This window comes from Homo sapiens, chromosome 1 (assembly GCF_000001405.40).
Source record: "Homo sapiens chromosome 1, GRCh38.p14 Primary Assembly".
Lineage (NCBI taxonomy): Eukaryota > Metazoa > Chordata > Mammalia > Primates > Hominidae > Homo > Homo sapiens.
Genome location: NC_000001.11, coordinates 47215380 through 47233903, shown reverse-complemented (window position 1 = coordinate 47233903; position 18524 = coordinate 47215380). Strand labels below are relative to the sequence as shown.

General features: G+C 52.9%; 1 protein-coding gene across 10 annotated transcripts, besides 4 other annotated features; it reads left to right on the top strand.

Moving 5' to 3' along the window:
- Positions 1510-2483: an enhancer, noted in NCBI's record as "H3K4me1 hESC enhancer chr1:47697093-47698066 (GRCh37/hg19 assembly coordinates)". NCBI's record gives its function as "activates a minimal SCP1, AML or CMV promoter by ChIP-STARR-seq in naive H9 embryonic stem cells {active_cell/tissue: H9 hESC(naive)}" and the evidence as "EXISTENCE:reporter gene assay evidence [ECO:0000049][PMID:30033119]".
- On the top strand, positions 1569-17614 carry TAL1 (TAL bHLH transcription factor 1, erythroid differentiation factor). 10 transcript variants are annotated; one of them, NM_003189.5, is made up of 6 exons: positions 1569-1737; positions 4133-4250; positions 4553-4708; positions 8015-8461; positions 9806-9900; positions 13730-17614. In NM_003189.5, the coding sequence occupies exons 4-6, from the start codon at positions 8016-8018 to the stop codon at positions 14182-14184; spliced, it is 996 nt and encodes a 331-aa protein (NP_003180.1). In that variant the 5' UTR covers positions 1569-1737; positions 4133-4250; positions 4553-4708; position 8015; the 3' UTR covers positions 14185-17614. The 10 variants fall into 10 exon arrangements, with proteins under 10 accessions (NP_003180.1, NP_001277332.1, XP_016857680.1 ...); NM_001290404.1 differs by lacking the exons at positions 1569-1737; positions 4133-4250 and adding exons at positions 2015-2056; positions 2863-2994; NM_001290403.2 differs by lacking the exon at positions 4133-4250 and having other exon boundaries at positions 1679-1737; positions 13730-17613.
- Positions 2484-3457: an enhancer, noted in NCBI's record as "NANOG-H3K4me1 hESC enhancer chr1:47696119-47697092 (GRCh37/hg19 assembly coordinates)". NCBI's record gives its function as "activates a minimal SCP1, AML or CMV promoter by ChIP-STARR-seq in naive H9 embryonic stem cells {active_cell/tissue: H9 hESC(naive)}" and the evidence as "EXISTENCE:reporter gene assay evidence [ECO:0000049][PMID:30033119]".
- Positions 3650-4611: an enhancer, noted in NCBI's record as "H3K4me1 hESC enhancer chr1:47694965-47695926 (GRCh37/hg19 assembly coordinates)". NCBI's record gives its function as "activates a minimal SCP1, AML or CMV promoter by ChIP-STARR-seq in primed H9 embryonic stem cells {active_cell/tissue: H9 hESC(primed)}" and the evidence as "EXISTENCE:reporter gene assay evidence [ECO:0000049][PMID:30033119]".
- Positions 4612-5573: an enhancer, noted in NCBI's record as "H3K4me1 hESC enhancer chr1:47694003-47694964 (GRCh37/hg19 assembly coordinates)". NCBI's record gives its function as "activates a minimal SCP1, AML or CMV promoter by ChIP-STARR-seq in primed H9 embryonic stem cells {active_cell/tissue: H9 hESC(primed)}" and the evidence as "EXISTENCE:reporter gene assay evidence [ECO:0000049][PMID:30033119]".
- Positions 17615-18524: the final 910 nt, after the last annotated feature.

Sequence of the window (18524 nt, the reverse complement as noted above, 5' to 3'; positions counted from 1 at the left end):
TCAGAGAGCACAGGAGGAACAGAGGGGACAGGCGGCACTGAATTAACTGTATCTTCTCAGAGGGTCAACCTGATGACCAAGGAGAAGCCAGATCCCAGACTGGGGCCATGCTCTCTGCTCAGTCTTTGACTGGGACTCAGTTTGTTACCAGAGTAGGGGTTTTCCCCCAGTTCTCAGGCTCCAAAAAAAGCTCAAAAGCAGAGACACTAGAAGGACAAATCAGCCTGGCATGGAAAGTAGAGTTGTGGACTGGGAATTGGACACCAAAGTTTGGGTCCTGGCTTTTCCTTTGGGTTACTGTAAGTTTTGGCTAAGTCACATCTCTCTGTGTCTTAATTTCTTTCTCTATGATGATAACCAGAACTCCCATGCAAGTGCATATGATGTTTTCCTGGGCTGTGGACTGAGTGACGTTCCATACATTATTATCCTCACCACCACCTTTTAAAGGTCATATAAGTTAGTTCTCATAACTTTGTGACGTCGACATTATCTCCCCATTTTACAAATGAGAAAACTGAGGTTCAGAGATCAGTGACTAAAATTCGAACATGTGTTCTTTCCACTCCACCATGAAAGAATGAACCCAGAGACCCTCCGTGGGCTGAGCGCATCATCCAGCTGGCACTGAACTCAGATTTCTACCCCACAGTAAAGACCCTGGTCTCTGCAATGAGTTGAGCCCAGGTCCCTTTCCCTGGCTAGGTTTTGGCTGCCCCTCTTCATCAGCTGAGCCGCAGAGAAGACTCCGTGTCAAATTTCCTTCCAAGGCAGACTCCACCAAGCACTAGCTATGTATCATTCGAAAAGTTACTTTGACTTTCTGTGCCTCAGTTTTCTCTTCTGTAAATTAAGGATCCAGCTTCTCAGGACTGTTTGTGAAGAGTAGATTAGTATTTGCAGAATGCCTAGAATAGTGTTACAGTCGCTAGATTAAACTTTTTTTTTTTTTTTAAATACCATGTGGGGAGCAGTGTTCCTGGGCTCTGGGCTCAGCCTGAAACCTAGCAGAATAGGCATTTTATGTCCCTATTGACAGGGGTTCTGCCAGGCCGCCGTAGAGCCCATGGATTTGAGTTACCGGCTCTATTTTAGAAGGGGGTGAAGAGGTAGGGAAGGGCTGGGGAGCTTTCTGGGATAGGGAGACTGCCCATTGAAATCTGGGTGTCTGGGACACTGGAGGAAGAATAAGAAAGAAGCCCTGGGAGGTGACGATTTTGGTATCATGGTGGTCTTCAGAGGTAGGGACAGAGTGCTGGGGTGAGAGTCGCTGAAGAAAGGTGTCTGAAAGGTTAAGGGACTGAGGTTGTGGGAAGCTGGGGTTCCTGAGAGGCCTTGGGATTAGAGATGGGGGCTGGATCTGCTGGGTCCTAGACAGCGCGTCCAACGCTCCCCGCAGCGCGTTCCGGAGCCGGTCCTAGCGCCGCTCAACCAGTCCCCACTCCCTCCGGTGAAATTGCCAAATTAAAATGAATCATTTGGCCCATAATGGCCGAGGCGCTTATCGGGGGCGGGCGGACCCGCGGCAGTGCCTTATCTCTGCGGCGCACACGGCCCCGGCGCGCCTCGGCCCATGCTAACGAGGCCTGGAACGTGAGTGGGATTACAGCGCGTCGGTGGAGGGGCCGGGCGGGCGCGGGGCGGGCGGGGGAGCGGGGGCCGCGGGAGGGGCCGGGCCGCCGCCGCTCAGGACCGGGCCTCAAAATGGCCACACGCGTACCCCCGTAGCGGAAAAACGTGAGCATTCTGGCCTTTTTCTAGGGGAAAAGCAACCCGCGGCCTCCCACCGAATTCTTCATCAATTTCCTCCTCTTTTTCCCCACGTCCGCAAAAGAGGTCTTCGCTCCCTTTCCCTCGGTTCCTTTCGATGGCCGGGGGGGGCGGTGGGGGGGCATTTTCCACGGACGCCCCCGCCCCGGCTGCCGCCGCCCCTCCCGCCTCGGAGACTCTCTTCCTTCCTTCCCCCTTTTCCTTACGCAATATACAGAAATGCGCGAGGCTGTGGTTGGTTTTCATTTCTTCTTCGTGGTTGTGTGCATGCGGTGGGATTGTGAGAGTGCGTTCATGAGAACTGTGGGCGGCGTTGGCTGCTTCTAAGTGTGGTCTTCTTGGCGACAGGCTCTGTGTCCGAGTGTGGTGTGCCTGCGCGGTTGGGGTGTGTAGATGTGGACCCTTCGAGGCCCTTCTGCGTTTTCTTCGTTGCGTACGATTGTGCTCCGTTGGTGTTCTCAGCAGGGATCTGATTCTGTGTGTGGGGGTGTGTGGCCCCTGCGACTGTGTTTGGGTGGTGTCGTCGTTATGTCGGGCGTGTGTGATCCCGACTGTGCTGGATTGTGTGTCCGTGAGCCGCTGCGTTTGACTGATTTCGTTGTGTCCTGTTGGGCAGTGTGCGGGGCTGACCAAGTCGGCTTCTGGGGCAGTGCTAGGTGGTGTTTGTTTGCTGCCCTTCTGTGGGGCTGGACCCTGTGTGGTCCTGTCCGCACTGAGTTGTATGCCTGTGTGCCTGTGTCCTTTAGAGGTGCGTTTGCAAATCGCTGGGGGCGGGAGTGGGGGGAGGGCGAGCGAGAGATCGAGGCGCTGGTGGGGGCGGCGGCATGGGGGCGGGGAGCGGGATTTCACATTTTATTCCAAATTATGATGTATTCGGGAGCCAGTTGTTGGCTTGGGTGGGCGGACAGCGCCCGGTCGGCGGCTGCTCTGCCCGGAGGCCCGCCTGTGCCTAGGTGTTTGAGGGGTTCGTTGGTGAGTGGGAGGCTCCTCCAGGCTTGAAGCTGAGCAGCGCTCGCCGAGGCCGGCGCCTTCGAGCCGGTAGCTGCGGGCTTCGGTTCCCGCTGCACTCCGGCTTCATCCATTTCTGGTCAGTTTCGTGGGTGCGGCCGCCGGGCTCCAAGGGAGAGGCCCCGAAAGGACAATGGGCACATTCACCAGGCCTCGAGCCTCGGGTGGGGACATTCGGGATCACCTCCTGGGAAGATTTTCCCGCCCCCTCTTCGGGTGAGCGACGTTGCCGCTTGGGTCTGATACCCGTCGCATCCGAGACCGAGGCCGAATCCGGGCTCTGGGAGGGACCGGGTTAGTGGGGCCCTAGCTCGGGTTGAAAGAATTTTGTTTTGTCAATTATTGTAATTGCTAATGCCATCACCATCACAATCGTCATCATTAACATCTATTTTAATTAAAATAATCATCCCAGAGCGCAGCAGTTTGTCCCTTTTGGCTCCTTTGGCGGGAGAACAAAGCAGCGGGTTTTTTTCCGCTACAGCCGTTTTCTAAGTTGCTGGGTTTGAGGTAGGAAGAGAAAATGGAGAGAGGCACGGACACAGAGACTTGGTCATAAGGCAAACATTAACCCCCAGCGAACACGCAACATTAACCCCCCGCGAACACGCCGGGAATGGATGGATTCCCCTCTTCTTTCCTCCCCTCCCCTCTTTTGGATTAGAAGAGGAGAAAGAAAATCTTCCGCATTGTATTGCAATCCAGGGAAGAATTATTCCTATATGTCCACCAAAGCCGCGGCAAATAGAAGGAGGCCTTCGCAGTTAATCCAAGACTTCGATGTGTGATCATAAGCCTGACGATTTAGGCAAAACAAATTAAACAAAATCCACTAGGAAAAAATAAAAGCAAGCTCAATCCTGCTACATCCTTGAAAGTAGTGTCGGGTTTGTTTTTACCTCCTTTCCTTTTACCTTGTTTATTGCTGTAACAAATCATTAGAATTCTCCCTTACTCTGTCTAAACCCCGAAAAATCGAAAATCATTTCGTAGGGGTGGTGGAGGGGAAGGTGGGGGACTTTTCCCCTTTGTTTCTTTCTTTCCCCCTTTGTTGGTCTTTATTTCCTTTTCTTTTTCTGTCTCTCTCTTCCTCTCTCTTTCTTCTTTCTCTTAATCAGTAGGGAGACGAGAAAGGACCTGAACAGATCAGATATCTCTCTCCAAGCCCCCTTCCCAACTCCATTTCTGTAGGAAAGTACAGCCCCTGGAATTGGGTTCTGGTTTCGCTTTGGGCTGGAGGTGGGTGGATGGGGGTCAGAGAGAGAATGAGGTGGGGGGGACTTCAAGGTTCTGTCCCACCGACCAGAGTCTGAAGACTATTCGCCTTTCCCAACACGGACCTCCGCCCATCCAGGCCCGGGACTATCCCTTCGCGGTGTAGCGGCAGCCGGAGACCTGGCTGAGGAGGCAACCGCGTAGACACCTCCCTGCTTAGAAAACAAACACTGAACCAGACCGATCCCAGTTGGAGGGTTCGAAAATGTTCCAGACAGCCTGTCGGGAGGGGTTGTTGTTGCTGTTGGACTAAATAGCTATTCCTGATTGGTCATGTATAGGGTTTTTTAAGGCGGGTGGGGGGAGGAGGGGGTAGAGGAAAGGCTCCAAACACCTGCAGGTTGGGGGCGGAAAGCTGTTTGCGATTCCCTGGACTGGTTGGTCGGGGACAGGAGGTAATTCCCAGCCATTGACCCCCATTTCTCTCTCTCCCTCCCTCTTGCCCTGCCTCTTTCTCTCCACCCCTATCTTTCCTGGAAACTCGCTTTGGGCGCGGCAGATCGCCCAGGACCACACCGCAGCGTAACTGCAGGCCTCTCAGCGAAAAAGGGGGAAAGCAAAGACCCGGGTGTGCATCCTCTTCCTCGGCTTCCGCCCCTTTCCGGCGGAGTGGAGATCCTATTCAGAGGGGCCGGTCTCTCTAAATATGCCCCAGGTGAGTTTTCAGGGGAATGGTGCCGGTGGAAACGGTGTCTAGGAAGGCCTTGTGTTCCGGCCTGGGGTGAGGAAGGCTCAGGACAGAGGAGAGCCCATTCTCAGATTGGGGGTGGGGGGAGGGGAGGACCAGCCAGAGCTTGGAATCGGGATCTGACTGCTGTAGCTGCCTCTGTGGCATTCAGCGGCTTTTTCCCTTTTCCACCCAGGGTAAAACCAGCTAGTTGGACTTAGTCGTCCAGGCCTTTCCCATTGGTCCCGGTTCTGTGGACGTTTCCCAAGGCCGGTAACTTTGGGGCGGCTGTATCCGGGTGGTACAGACTGTGCCTGGAGCTCCCGCAGGAGGAAGGCGGCAGCCTTCCTGGCTAGTGCAGTCCCAGCTCGAGTGGGCCCTGATCCCAGGCCTGAGGCCTAGGGTGGGGAGGCAGGAACACCCCTCTTCTCCGGTAGAGGCGAGGATGGTGGTGCTGTTCCCTGGTGGGTTTGGTACTTGTGCAGGCTTGGGGCTTCTCCAGGGTGTTGTGCTGGTGTGGGCCCAGAAGAGAGACCAGAGGCTGGGTCTAAGGGCCTGAGGCTGTTTTCATCTAAGAAATTCTCTGTATGGGGGATTGGGTCTGCTTGAGACCTGTCCCCAGGAAGAATCTCCTGGGGTCTTCTGTCTTGTTCTGGCACAGGTGGAAATATTCTGGCTGTCTGGCAACTGCAGATGAGGATTTCCTGTTGGGGGCTATAAGCAGGGTCTCCGTAGTACAAAGAGAGAGGAGCTGTAGTCGTCAAATACTCTAGAACGATTCAGTCTAAAATCTCCCTCCTCCTTCATTCTCCCCAAATAAAAACAAACAAAATCTCTCGGGCGTTCCTTTCTGTAATCCAAATCAAGTGATGCAGCTTAGTCGCCAACAACCATCAGTGTTTGTGAGTGGCTTCTTTGGGGCATGGACCTCTGGCTGGTAATCCTAAACCGGCAGGATTTTCCTAAAATGTGGGGAGGAGCCGGGAGAGGTCCTCCACAGATCCTGGGATCCAATCATATATTTCTTACAAGGAACCTTGGCGATGGGATATTTATAGGTGTCTGGAGAGGACATTTGTGGCCAGGGTCAATTCATCTGGAATATGTACTCCCATTGCCTCTCAGGAATCCACCGCTAGAGCAGGAGCCTAAGAATTAATTGGAGGGTAAAAATGTGTCATAACAGAGCTTGAGCTCAGTCTGCAACTGCAGTGCACACTGTCACTCGGTTAGAAGCTGGGGCTTAAGCATGGATCACTGGGCTCACACCGGTGTGTCAGGACGGAGAGCAGTGAGGTAGGGAACCAATACCTTGAAGCTTGTATGTTTCCCAGGGGTTGGTATATTTCTGGCACATTTCGCTGCTGCTGGGAGCAAGAGGACCTGGCTGATATACTTCTGGTGCATTTCCAGTGGCCTTGGTGTCTTGGTGGTTGCATTCTATGGATAGAGACCTATTGTCTCCACCAAAATCATAAACTCACTTCCAATGAAGTGTCAGGGACCTACTGCCTTTACAGCTTGTATACACCAGGACTTAGGGAATTTTGTGGTTTCTGTGCCAGACCTGGGGGGCTGGCATTCCCAAAGAAGGTGTACAGCAGTCTGAATCTTGACTCTCTGTCATCCTGGGTGTCTAGTGGCAATTGAGCCAAGCTCCAGAGGAGGCTGCAGATGATCCATTCTCCCTTCTGGGGTGGGAGGGATGGTTCCTAGGATGACTCCTGTCCAGAGCATTGCAGTGGCAGTATGGGAGCTCAATGGCTGCTATGTATGATTTAGATGGACTCTGCATGGGGGTAAATTGTTTTTTTGTATTTGTTTTCTTCTTTTAAATACCCAATTATATAATTCAGAGAGCAGAAAGCTTATTTTAAACAACTTATGTGGTGTTGATCATATATGTACAACTCACAACTCACAAACTCTGGCCCTTGAGTCTCCTGATTTTTCTGTTTTGGTTCTTGCTGGTGCCCAGCTCTATCTGGATGAAGCCAGGTGATGGAAGAGCCCCAGCACACCTGTGGGAAGTAGAGTGGCTGTGGTCATCTCGGAGTATGCTTGTGGGGTCACAAGGTGGTTTCACTGCTCTGGGAATACAGGAGGGTTGAGCAAAGTGAGATTATTGCTCTGGTCTGGCTCTCTCACAGATAGGCTGTGAGTGACTTGACATTCGGCCAGGCAGTTTTCTCACTGGCCCATTCTCCTTGTTAATAATGTTTACTTGAACGTTTGCACAGCACTTTCAAATGCATAAAGGAGGTATTCCTCCCATTTCCCAAAGAACACCAAGGCAGGAGATGGCGGTGAGGGGGGCTGGAAGAGTTCAAGGGCCTCATGACATCCTGTCCTGCTCTTGGATGGGAGTCCAGACCCCACTGGCCTCAGGGAACCCTTCAAATGCCCAGCTCCATTCTACCTCAGCCAGGCCTCTCTTTGAGACTCGACCTCACTTCAGAGTCCAGCTGAGCAGAACGAGGTGGACTGTGCAGGGAGGTTGGGCCAGCACCATCTTCTTCCCTTGGCGACCTCTCATCTCTGTCTGAGTGGGAGTAAAGATCCGCTGGGCGGGCAGAGGACTCACAGTGGATTTGCTCAGTGTAGACAGACACTCCCTCACTCCCCAGCGGGGGCGAATGTGTGTGTGTGTGTGTGTGGAGGGAGCTGGTTCCTCGGGATTATTCTCTGCCAGCTCTGGCGGAGTGGATCCCAGTCCCCGTAGCCTCCACTTTCTAATTCCCTACTTCCATCCGCACCGGGTTTCTGGGTGTGTGCCTGTAGGTGGGCTGGGAATATTGCTGAGAGGCCAAGGGAGGTTCCTAAAGCAACGAACCCCTGCCTGACAGATTCCCCGCTAAAACCAAAGAGCACGATCCGGAATTTGTTCCCTCCTCTTCCCTTTAGGCCTGAGAAAGGGGACAGAGTAATCTCTTTCTTGCCTCCTTGTACATTTCCTTCCTCCTGATTTCCCCTTCTGTGTTTCTGTCGCTGGCTGTATTCCTTTTCTTCCGGTGTCTCTGTCGTCTTCCTCCATCTCTGTCCTTTTGGCCCTCAGTCTCTGTGTCTCCCAGGCACCCCTCCCTTCTCCCAATCCAGAGACCCTCTTTCCCTCCCACCCTAGCCCCAACCGGCCTCCCGCCCTAGCCCCACGTGGCGCTAACTTTGTCTGCCTCTTCTCACGTCTCGGTGCGTGAGTTCCTCTCTCTGCCCTTCTCCCCTTTACCCCAGCCCACGTCGGTGGGTCAGGGGCGGTCGTCAGAGCGGGCATCCGCTTGTCTGTCTGTCTGCCCACAGGATGACCGAGCGGCCGCCGAGCGAGGCGGCTCGCAGTGACCCCCAGCTAGAGGGACGGGACGCGGCCGAGGCCAGCATGGCCCCCCCGCACCTGGTCCTGCTGAACGGCGTCGCCAAGGAGACGAGCCGCGCGGCCGCAGCGGAGCCCCCAGTCATCGAACTGGGCGCGCGCGGAGGCCCGGGGGGCGGCCCTGCCGGTGGGGGCGGCGCCGCGAGAGACTTAAAGGGCCGCGACGCGGCGACGGCCGAAGCGCGCCATCGGGTGCCCACCACCGAGCTGTGCAGACCTCCCGGGCCCGCCCCGGCCCCCGCGCCCGCCTCGGTTACAGCGGAGCTGCCCGGCGACGGCCGCATGGTGCAGCTGAGTCCTCCCGCGCTGGCTGCCCCCGCCGCCCCCGGCCGCGCGCTGCTCTACAGCCTCAGCCAGCCGCTGGCCTCTCTCGGCAGGTCAGGGGCCAGGGGCCAGGGGCCAGGGGCTGGGCGGGTGGGCAGGGCGACCACCCCCACCGGGGTTTCCTTCTACACATCGGCGGCGGCCTGCCCTGGGGGCCGAGCGGGTGGAGCGCAGGGAGAGGAGGTCGTTTTAAACCCAGTGGCTCTAGAGCCTCAAGCTGGAGCCCCCGAGTGAGTGCCAGTGAGGGAGGGGCCTTCTGTGAGAGAGAGTGTGCGTGTGGCTGCGGGGTGCATGGCTGTGTGGAAGCCGAGAGGAGGACGTGGACACCTTCGCGGGTGCAGGCATGTGGCTGGTGTGCTTGGTGGTGGTGTCGTGGGGGACGGAGAGGAAGGAGTCCCCTGAGCGTGGGTACCAGGAAAGAGTGTGCCTGCATGTGCTTTGCTGTGAGCAGAGGTAGATGTTTGTGGTGTGAAATTCATTCGGAAACTCAGCGCTAGCTGGACAGGCAAGAGATAAGGATCTGAGGGTGGTGGCAGAGGCACCCTCCCCCGAATCTCTGCTGGAGGGCCCGCCTGAGGACTGACCTGTCCCTCCACTCCCAGCCCCTCTGCTCCTAGCCGTGGTCTCTGGCCCCAGCCTGTACTCCGGTTGGTGTCAGGGCATCCGTTTCCCTGCTGGCGCTACTGTGATGATGAGGGAGAGAAGCCATAGGGTTGGAATAGAAACCGGCAGATGGGGCAGGGATAGAGTGTGGGGCAGTCAATGAACCTGGCGGGCACCCGAGACAGAGCTATGGGGAGCTTAGGGTGGGTGAGGGCAGAGAGCTAGGCGGAGCATTTCAGCTGAGGGGAGTCAGGGTTTCCTGTCTGTTGTGTATCTACAGCCCCTTATGGGTGGGGTGAGGTGGGGAGAGGGGACAGTGTGCCCCTTTGTGGTGACCAAGATGCACACCATCAGGTGTGAAGGTTACATTTGCCTGAGTGGGCATGTGTTTGGGAGTGGAGGTGTGTGTGGATTATGTGCTTGTTTCTGGGGCGGGAGAATGGAGAGTGTTTCTATCTGTGAAGTGTGTGTGTGTGTGTGTGTGTGTGTTCATTTTTGTGTTTATTCCATGTGTTATTCACCTCTGCTTCTGCATATGTGCCTGTGTTTGTGTGGAGGGATGTGTGGTTAGGTGTCTTTTCCTCCCTTTGCTTGTTTTATGACAGACAGAGTGAGGGCATTCCGTGTGTATGTGTGTGTGTGTGTCTGTGTGTGCCTATTCCCAGCTCAAGTGTGAAGGGACCAGGGTTGCCCAGAGGTGGGGGGCTCAAGACATGTGGGGAGGATCCCTAAGGAAGCTCTTTCTCCCCTCCCCTCAACATGGGATCTTGTGATCTGCCCGTTCCCTCCCACAGCGGGTTCTTTGGGGAGCCGGATGCCTTCCCTATGTTCACCACCAACAATCGAGTGAAGAGGAGACCTTCCCCCTATGAGATGGAGATTACTGATGGTGAGTCTGCCCCACCCCACCGTTGTACCTGCCCCTCACGCTGGTTAGAGCCCTCTGGAGGAGGGAACATCTGGGACTACTCCGTAGGTATCTCACAAAGATGGGCGGGCCACTTTCCAAACCCAAACTGCCGAAGCCCTTCACCCTGCAGCTGAGCTAGGGCTAAGTAAAGTCCTGGATGGGGCTAGCAGGACCACACTCACAGTCCTGCAAAGAGGAGGCATGGGAGAGAGACACATAATGGCGCTTAGCCCAAACCTCTGGAGTTAGTTCCCAAACCTTTGGAGTTAGTTCCAGTCCCCAGTCCGGGCTCCATTCCTACACTTTGGCAAGGATCCCAAGTGGGCGCAGAATCACACAGTGTCCCCCGATCCCCCATTCTAGGCACTGACCCTCAGGGATTCCCTGCACTTCCTCCCAAGTCTTCCTTAGAGTCTGGAGTCTGCTTCCTCCCTGCAATGGAGTCATCAAGGGTTTTCTCCGAGGTCCCTACACAGTAGGCTCCCCTTGTCTCCCGTTAACACATTCTGGGCTTAGACCTGGAGTTCCCTTCCTGACATCATGGATTCTACCTTGCCCCCTGGATTCCCCGAGAAGGGCCTTGGCACTGCTCCTTTGAGGTACTTGAATATTCCCTGAACTTGCAGGGGTGGTTTGGACAAATGGGAGATTTGGAAGACCCTCGCCATCTTTCCAAGGTTGACCTTGTATAGTAGATTGGTCCCAGCACCAGGGGTAGGAGAGCAGGCACTTCAGAGCTGAGGGACTTTGAGCCAGACCCAGATGCCCCCAGAACTTCAGCTTGGCTGTGGCCTGGGGCTCCTGTAGGAAGGCTGCCCAAGGCCTCAGAGCAAGGCTGGGATTTATGCTCCAAACTGGTGGGAGGAATATGAGTATGGAGCTGGAGCCTCTGGAGTGGAGCCCTCTGTGGTGTTCTGGAGAGGAGCGGGGCTGGGATCTGCACAACAGAAAAGACTTCAAAAGACCCAAGCAGCCTGGGGCACAGGTGTGCAGGGCTGAGAGGCAGGGGTGCCTTCTGCTAGATTAGAGAGGAGTTCTCTAGTCTAAGAGAGGTGGGTGTACCAAACAGGAAGAAGACAGGACCAGCCCTGAAGTTCCCCAGGGATGAGGCATTTTCTACAATAGGCAGAAGAGGCAGAGCATAGGGGCGAGGGTTTGTGGGGTGTGCAGGAGTGTAGGGCAGTCATTATCCATAAGTGTTGGCAATATTTACCGAGCACCTACTCAGTGCTGGCCAGAGAGAGGCAGAGGACACCAGGAGGGGTAGACAGACTCAGGAAAGAGGAAGGTGAGGAGAGGGGGTGGTTCTCTGGAATAAAACCAGAGAGGAATAGGCAGACATGTAGGCGAAGGGTAGGGTATGAGTGTGCAGGATGTGTCTAGGGGACACTGAAATTAGAGATTGAACCCAAAAAGAGTCCATAGAAGTAGAACTAATGCAAGATCTAGAGTTAGGACTTGATGTGGATTCCTGTTGCTGAATTGCTACTACCATGTATTGGACACCTACTATGTGCCATGGACTATGTGTGCTTGATTTCTGTTTATTCCTTACCACAAGCTCATGAGGGCAATATTATTGTTTACATCTCACAGATAAGGAAATTGAGGCTGAGAGAGGTTACCCAGCTTGATCAAGGTCACACAGCTAAGTCCTGGGTCACACAGCTAAGTCCTGGACCACCCTCATAACACTGGTCTTAAGCTTTGGAATAAGTCCTGACCACTTCCCCACCATCTCCCCTTCTGGATGTAGTCTAGCTCCAGCTGTGACAGCAGTCATAAGTACCCCCTCCCCAACTAGGAGCTCCCTCAAGATCACCAGCATTAGCCATGGTGGAGGGACTGTCCTCCCTATGTCACTGCTGAGGGATGCTCTCTGTCTGGCCTGGAGGCCTGAAAGCAGCAAGTAATTTCCTCAGAGGCCGCCCAGGGTAGAACTGCCCTGCAGTTGTGCTGTGTTTTTCCCAGGCTGGGTCTGGCCTTTGGCAAACAGTCAGCTGGGCTAGGGCCTGCTATGGTTTGGAAAGGCAGCTTCAGAGGTACCATGGGCAGGGGATGGTGATCCTTCCCATTAAAAGTGTGTGTGTGTGAACACCCACACATGCATGTGCATGCCTGTGTGCGTGTAGGAGAGAGAAAGAGATGATCAGGCAGTAAGTGTGGCATGGATGAGCTGATTCACAGACTGACCACTGAGGTGAGGTCTGCTTCCATCCCAGCCTCAGTCTCCTTAGCTATAAAATGGGCAGTGGGACTTAGGTGAGGTCTTAGCTCTTCTCCTCTACCTCGGTTTTCACACTCTGAGGTCTGGTTCCAGGGGTTACTAGAAGAGGGAAAATAAATATCCTAGGACTGGCAGTTCCTTCAGTGCTCAGAGCTTCCTGGACTATGTGACCCTGGCTTGTGCCTCGATGTTAGGGAGAGAAGCAGTCTCCTCAGCCCAGAAGTTCAAGAGCACTAGTAGGACCCTTCACTGTCTTCCCCTGGCTTTACAAATCCCCAGTGAGTCTTGAACACAGCACAGTGCTTTGCACACCATAAGTGCCCTAGACATGTGTGCTGGTATCTGCCACTGCTCCATAAGTCTTTATACATGGAATGTTAGTGACTATTGGGCCAAGCCATAGTCAGTGGATTGTAGACATGAGGAGACTGAGGCAGCCTTCAGAAGCCTGCCTAGAGCTATAGGCCATGGCTGTGCATAGCTGTGTCTTCACTTCTCTCCTGGGTATGAGAGCCCTTCTGCATCGATCTCTGCTCTCCCCTCCATTCCCCACCTGCCACCATGATGGGTCAGTTAGCAGACATTTTCTAAGCCCCTACTCTGTGCTTTCCATCACCCTTAGGATAAAGTCCCCCCGCCTTACTGCAAGGCCCTGTGGAGTCTGGACCCTGCCTACTCTGATCTTGTGCACAGGACTCCAGCCAGCCTGGCTTCAGGCCTTGTCTAGTGCAGGGCCTGTGCATTCCCTTGGCTTGGATACTCTTCTTCCTCTCCCCTTCTTGTGCCTGGCTGTTTCTTCACAGCCTCAGACAAGCCTTCCCAGCCACTGGAGCTAAACATGGAGCTTCTTTTCATTACAATTCAGCCCTGGTTTGTTTGTTTTTTAATATTCGTTTCCCCATTAACATGTAAGCTCCATGAGGGCAGGCACTCAATTTAGTTCACCATTATTCCTCAGTGCCTAGCACAGTGCCTGGTTGTTAGCAAAAAACTGATACATGGATAATAATAGCTAACATTTATTGACTGCTAAGCTGAGGCAGGCATTGTCTTAAGTTCTTTACCTGTGTTAGGTACTAGACCCATGTAACAACTCATGACTTAGTAGTATTACCTCCATTTTGCAGGTGATGAAGCCAAGGCACTTCACAAGTTTTTATGTCACTTGCCCAGAGTCATTCATTTAGGTAGGGGTAGTCAAATAGGAATGGAGTCTGTCTCCTTAGACATAGCTGTAAGGCCTCTTGGCACAAGTGAATGGATGAATGAATAACATACGGTCCCTGTCCTCAAATATATCACAGCCCAGGGAGGGAGACAAGCACAGAAACATAAGTAATGATCAAGAGTGATGGAACTCCAGGGATTGCGGTATCGTGGTGGTTGGTTACATCTGTCTGGAGGGGTTGAGGAAGTTCCCATAGATGAGGAAGCACAGGAACTTGAATTTGAAGGGTGGATGTTTTCTAAGTAAAAGGAAAGTAGGCATTCTAGGCTTCCCAAGTTTCCCAATGTATGGAGATGCCTTTGGGGAAGGAATCTCAAGCCCATTCTCCTAACTCTTGTCCTCCTAATCTCCAGGTCCCCACACCAAAGTTGTGCGGCGTATCTTCACCAACAGCCGGGAGCGATGGCGGCAGCAGAATGTGAACGGGGCCTTTGCCGAGCTCCGCAAGCTGATCCCCACACATCCCCCGGACAAGAAGCTCAGCAAGAATGAGATCCTCCGCCTGGCCATGAAGTATATCAACTTCTTGGCCAAGCTGCTCAATGACCAGGAGGAGGAGGGCACCCAGCGGGCCAAGACTGGCAAGGACCCTGTGGTGGGGGCTGGTGGGGGTGGAGGTGGGGGAGGGGGCGGCGCGCCCCCAGATGACCTCCTGCAAGACGTGCTTTCCCCCAACTCCAGCTGCGGCAGCTCCCTGGATGGGGCAGCCAGCCCGGACAGCTACACGGAGGAGCCCGCGCCCAAGCACACGGCCCGCAGCCTCCATCCTGCCATGCTGCCTGCCGCCGATGGAGCCGGCCCTCGGTGATGGGTCTGGGCCACCAGGATCAGCCAGGAGGGCGTTCTTAGGCTGCTGGGATGGTGGGCTTCAGGGCAGGTGGGGTGAGAATTGGGCGGCTCTGAAGCAAGGCGGTGGACTTGAACTTTCCTGGATGTCTGAACTTTGGGAAGCCTTTACTGACCCTGGGGCTGGCTTTTCTGTTTCCTGTACCAGTAGGAGATCAGAAAAATGGAGCAAAGTGGTAGGTACTTTTTGTGAAGACGGCACGGTCTTCCCTCTTCCCTCAGTCCCAAATCCTTCCCAAGTAAGAGGCTGGAGTTGTCACTGCTTTTGGCCTGGAGTTTGGGATCCCTGTCTTTCCTAAGACCTGGGGTTGTCAGCTCTCATCTGAGGCATCCAGCAGTCTCTGCCTTGCCTTTAGCCCCTCCCAAGCTGGCTGGGGTGGCCTGTGTGGCCACTTCTGTCCATATTTATAGGTACCCAATAGCTGCCCATTTCGTGAGCCCCATCTTCACCCAGGCCTATGTTGATCCATCCAGCTTGCCAGATGCTGCAGAGTCACAAGCCTCGAGGTGCCTTCTTCAGGGCCTGGTTGAAGAAGATGATCAGTGGACAGTCTGCTCTAGATGAGCTGGGCCGGAGGGTCAGGAAACCCAGTCGCCCTTACTTCTTGCCCTGGGGATCAAAGTTCTGCTTTCTCCCCAATGAGACTTGCCTTCCTAAGCCTGTGGCTGTGGAGACAATGTCTGCAGCCCTGAGAAAGCCCTGTCGGGCTTTGTGTGAAGGCAGAGAAAGGGACAATGATAGTAGAGTGATATGGAGCAAGAGATATTTTGGGCATGTGGGCTTCAACTCCTCGACATCACTGTTCATGCTGGCGAGTGAATGCCAGTGTGCTGATGGGCGTACGCTGGTGCTGAGTAGATGCGCAGCCCCATCTGTGCATTCTCCTGGATGCTTAGAGGGATTTCTTTGCTGTAAGATGTCTGTTTGCTGATGGTCTGGTCTATGTTCCGAATTGAGCACAAAACCTGTCCTATGAATGCTTTGCATTTGGAATTTTTGCTTGACTTCAGTTATTGGTGGAATCTTTAGCGCTCAATAGGACCAGGATCCAGCCTCACTTCTAGGGTATGGGAAATCCAATCAGAGACCAGGCCCTGGCTAAGACCCAAACATATGCACATTCACTTAGCAGAACCTTAAACACCCCTCAGTTGTGCAGCTTTTGGTCATCAAGGGTGCGTCTGGGAGGTTGGTTTAATGCAATAGAAGTGCTCCCCTCTGAAAGTTGTACATGAAATTTTTGTAAATCACATCCTTATCCTTCATCTTTTAAAGAAATAACCACTGCAAGTCCTTTTGTAAAGTGAAGAATCCTTTTGTAGAATGAACCACTGCCCCTTCATTGATTTCCTGTGTCAATCCAGATGGTGGGATGTGGTTTTCTTAAGGTGAGGCCTGTCTGTGACCTGCATCTAAGCCCATGGGACAAATTGCACAGAAGTCCTGTATGTCTGTCATTGTACCCTTAAGTCACCCTAGCCCTCTCCCTCTAGGCTCTGCCTTCGAGGTCAGAGGAGAGATAGCCTGTGGCCCTGTCCTGCCATGCAAGAACTCATCACTGTGGCTGTCTGGAAAGCCCCCCCTTATAGTTTGGGCTTCAGCCTAGTGGCTTGTCCTCACCATGATGGGGCCCTAATTCAGCCATGTACAGACAGAGAATATGTCTGCTCCTTTCCCCTTCCTTTTAAGTAAGGTCCAATTCTCGAGCTTGGGGCAACATTGTTCACCTTTGTAGCACTCAGGCTCTCCATTCAATTTCAGGCTCCCCAGATCATGTTTTGGTGAAAATTAGGGTTGGTTCCTTTCCAACGTTTGGAAGATCCTGTGAGGAGCCCCATCTGTCTAAAGATAGAGTCATTGCTGTAGGATCTAAGGCTGTTTGCTTCACCGTGGATTCGCTTGAGTTAGGAATGAGAAGTAGCCACAGTATGGATGGGTGGATGGGTTTTATGAGATGGATCACATATTTTATTAAGAACTCAAACTTCTGGCTCCCTCTTCTTTCAGACTTGCCATGTGACTCTGGCTTGGCCTATCTCCTAGGGCTATGGTGTGGACTGAATGGGATCATGAAAGTAGACAGTTTTGAGAACGTAAAGAACTTTTTCTTTTCCCTCAATCTCAATCCTGCAGTGGGGTTTCGCAGCCTGAGTCCACGACCTAGGCAGTAGGCCGGTGTGCCTGACTGCCCAGCATTTGGGTAATTTAGATTGTAAACCGCTTTGGCCTGAGTTATTGAGATTGTCCTCATTTCTCCAGATTATCTATTTGTGTGTGTGTGTGTGTGTGTGTGAGAGACGGTGTCTTGTTCTGTCACTCAGGCTGGAGTACAGTGGTGCCATCATTGCTGTCTGCAGCCTTGAACTCTGGGCTCAAGCAATCCTCTCACCTCAGCCTCCCGAGTAGGGAGGACCACAGGTGTGAGCCACCACACCTGGCTAATTTTTACTTTTTTTTTTTTTTGGTAGAGATGGAGTCTTGCTATATTGCCCAGGCTGGTCTTGAAGTCCTGGCTTCAGGCAATTCTCCTGCCTTTGCCTCCAGAAGCACTGGGATCACAGGTGTCAGCCATTGCACCCAGCCCAGATTGTCTTAATTTCTATCTTGTTCCAAGGCCAGGGACAGTAATAAGAATGGAAAAGAGATATGGGAACACTGGCAGACTGTGTAAAATGTAATGCAACTACCCAAAACAAGCCTGGTAGGAAAGGGCAAGTCTTTAGGTCTTTGTAAGAACTAAAGAAGATCTGTAATTTTTATTTTCACCCTCTGTACCCCATGACCTTATCCTTCCTCTCCTTCCTTGTTACCCATGAAAAACTGGCAACATTCCAAGAATAGCATCTGTACAAAGGGGAAAGAACATAAAGGTAAAACAAAACAAAACAACATTTTGAGAACAAAGATGACCATAACCACTGAAGGGAATCACATCTTTTAAGACAAATTCATATTCTTTTATTTGTTATGGCAGATGACAAGATGGTACAACCTTTATTCTTTTCCAAAATAAAACAAAGGGCACAGCATCTGTAGTCAGCCGACAACTATTTCGGCCTTTTGGGGGTGGGTCTGGCCGTACTTGTGATTTCGATGGTACGTGACCCTCTGCTGAAGACTTGCCCCCTGCCCGTGTACATAGTGCATTGTTTCTGTGGGCGGGCCCAGCACTTTCCGTCAACGTTGTACTGTATGTGATGAATTGCGTTGGTCTCTGCATTTTTCTGCAGAAGAGGAGTAACCGCTCCAGGTACCTTGACCTTTGTACAGCCCAGAGGCCAACACTGTGGGTGTGTGACTCTTTAGCAAAAAAAACCCATGTGGTGATGATGTGTATATATATGTGAGGATGTATCGGGAAGATTTCTAAATAAAAGTTTTACAAAGGGGCCTTAGGACTCTGTGCTTGCATTGCACCCCTAGGCCTGAGACGGGATATTGAAAGAAAAGTCATGGCAAGAACCTGTTTCTCCTGACATGGGGAGCCTCCAAGACTCAGCTGTAGTCTTAGGAAGTGGGATTCCACCCTCAACCCTGAAGGCAGGCCTGGTGGGGAGGAGACAGCCTTCCTCCCCAGGGTTTCCATTCTTTCTCTCCACAGGCCTCATAGAGGGGGCCTGTCCCCTTGGCTTCATGCACCCATGCTTGTATCTCAGGAAGCCTCAGCAGACATCCCCTCTTTGTGTTGGGGTGAGCTTCCATGGCTGGGACAGTTGTATGTATCCTAGGTTCAGGACAGATTAAGGCCATACCATAGGAGGGCCCCAGGTTCCCTGATGACTCAACGGCTGCAGCGGCGGCTGCAGCTCTTATGCCTGGCTCTTAAGGATTGGGGACTCAGAGATGAAGTCTGAAGGTAATGGAAGTCGAGAGTGGAGGCTCTGTGGCAGGCTCCATATCATCTGGGAGGACTTCCCTGGAGGCTCAGGAATGGAAATGTGGTTTAGATGATACAACCCTTATTCTTTTCCAAAAATAAAACAAAGGGCACAGCACCTGGGTCTGGGGGAAGCCACTGCATGTGGACCATTTGATCCTCAGGGATTTCAGTAGGTCATGCAGGCACTTCTAATGAAGTATCATGCCTTCCTTTCTTTCTTTCATTTATTTATATATTTTTTCAAGATATGGGATCTTGCTTCTTCTAGCCTTTGCCCAGGCTGATCTTGAACTGAGCTCAGGAGTTCAAGGGCCATCAAGGTGAAAAAGAAACAAAAGGTGCAAAAACCAGAAGGTTTTTGTCTCAGTCCCTTGAGTAGTTAGGACTACAGCATGTGGAACTGGCACCCTGTTTCATTTAA

Bases quoted from the DNA above. Each gene is read 5' to 3' on its own strand.
- TAL1 (XM_047429046.1), top strand. From the start codon at position 8,016: ATGACCGAGCGGCCGCCGAGCGAGGCGGCTCGCAGTGACCCCCAGCTA. The intron at 8,639-9,805 runs GTGAGTGCCAGT...TCCCTCCCACAG, and splicing joins CCTCAAGCTGGAGCCCCCGA to CGGGTTCTTTGGGGAGCCGG. The intron at 9,901-13,729 runs GTGAGTCTGCCC...CCTAATCTCCAG, and splicing joins TGAGATGGAGATTACTGATG to GTCCCCACACCAAAGTTGTG.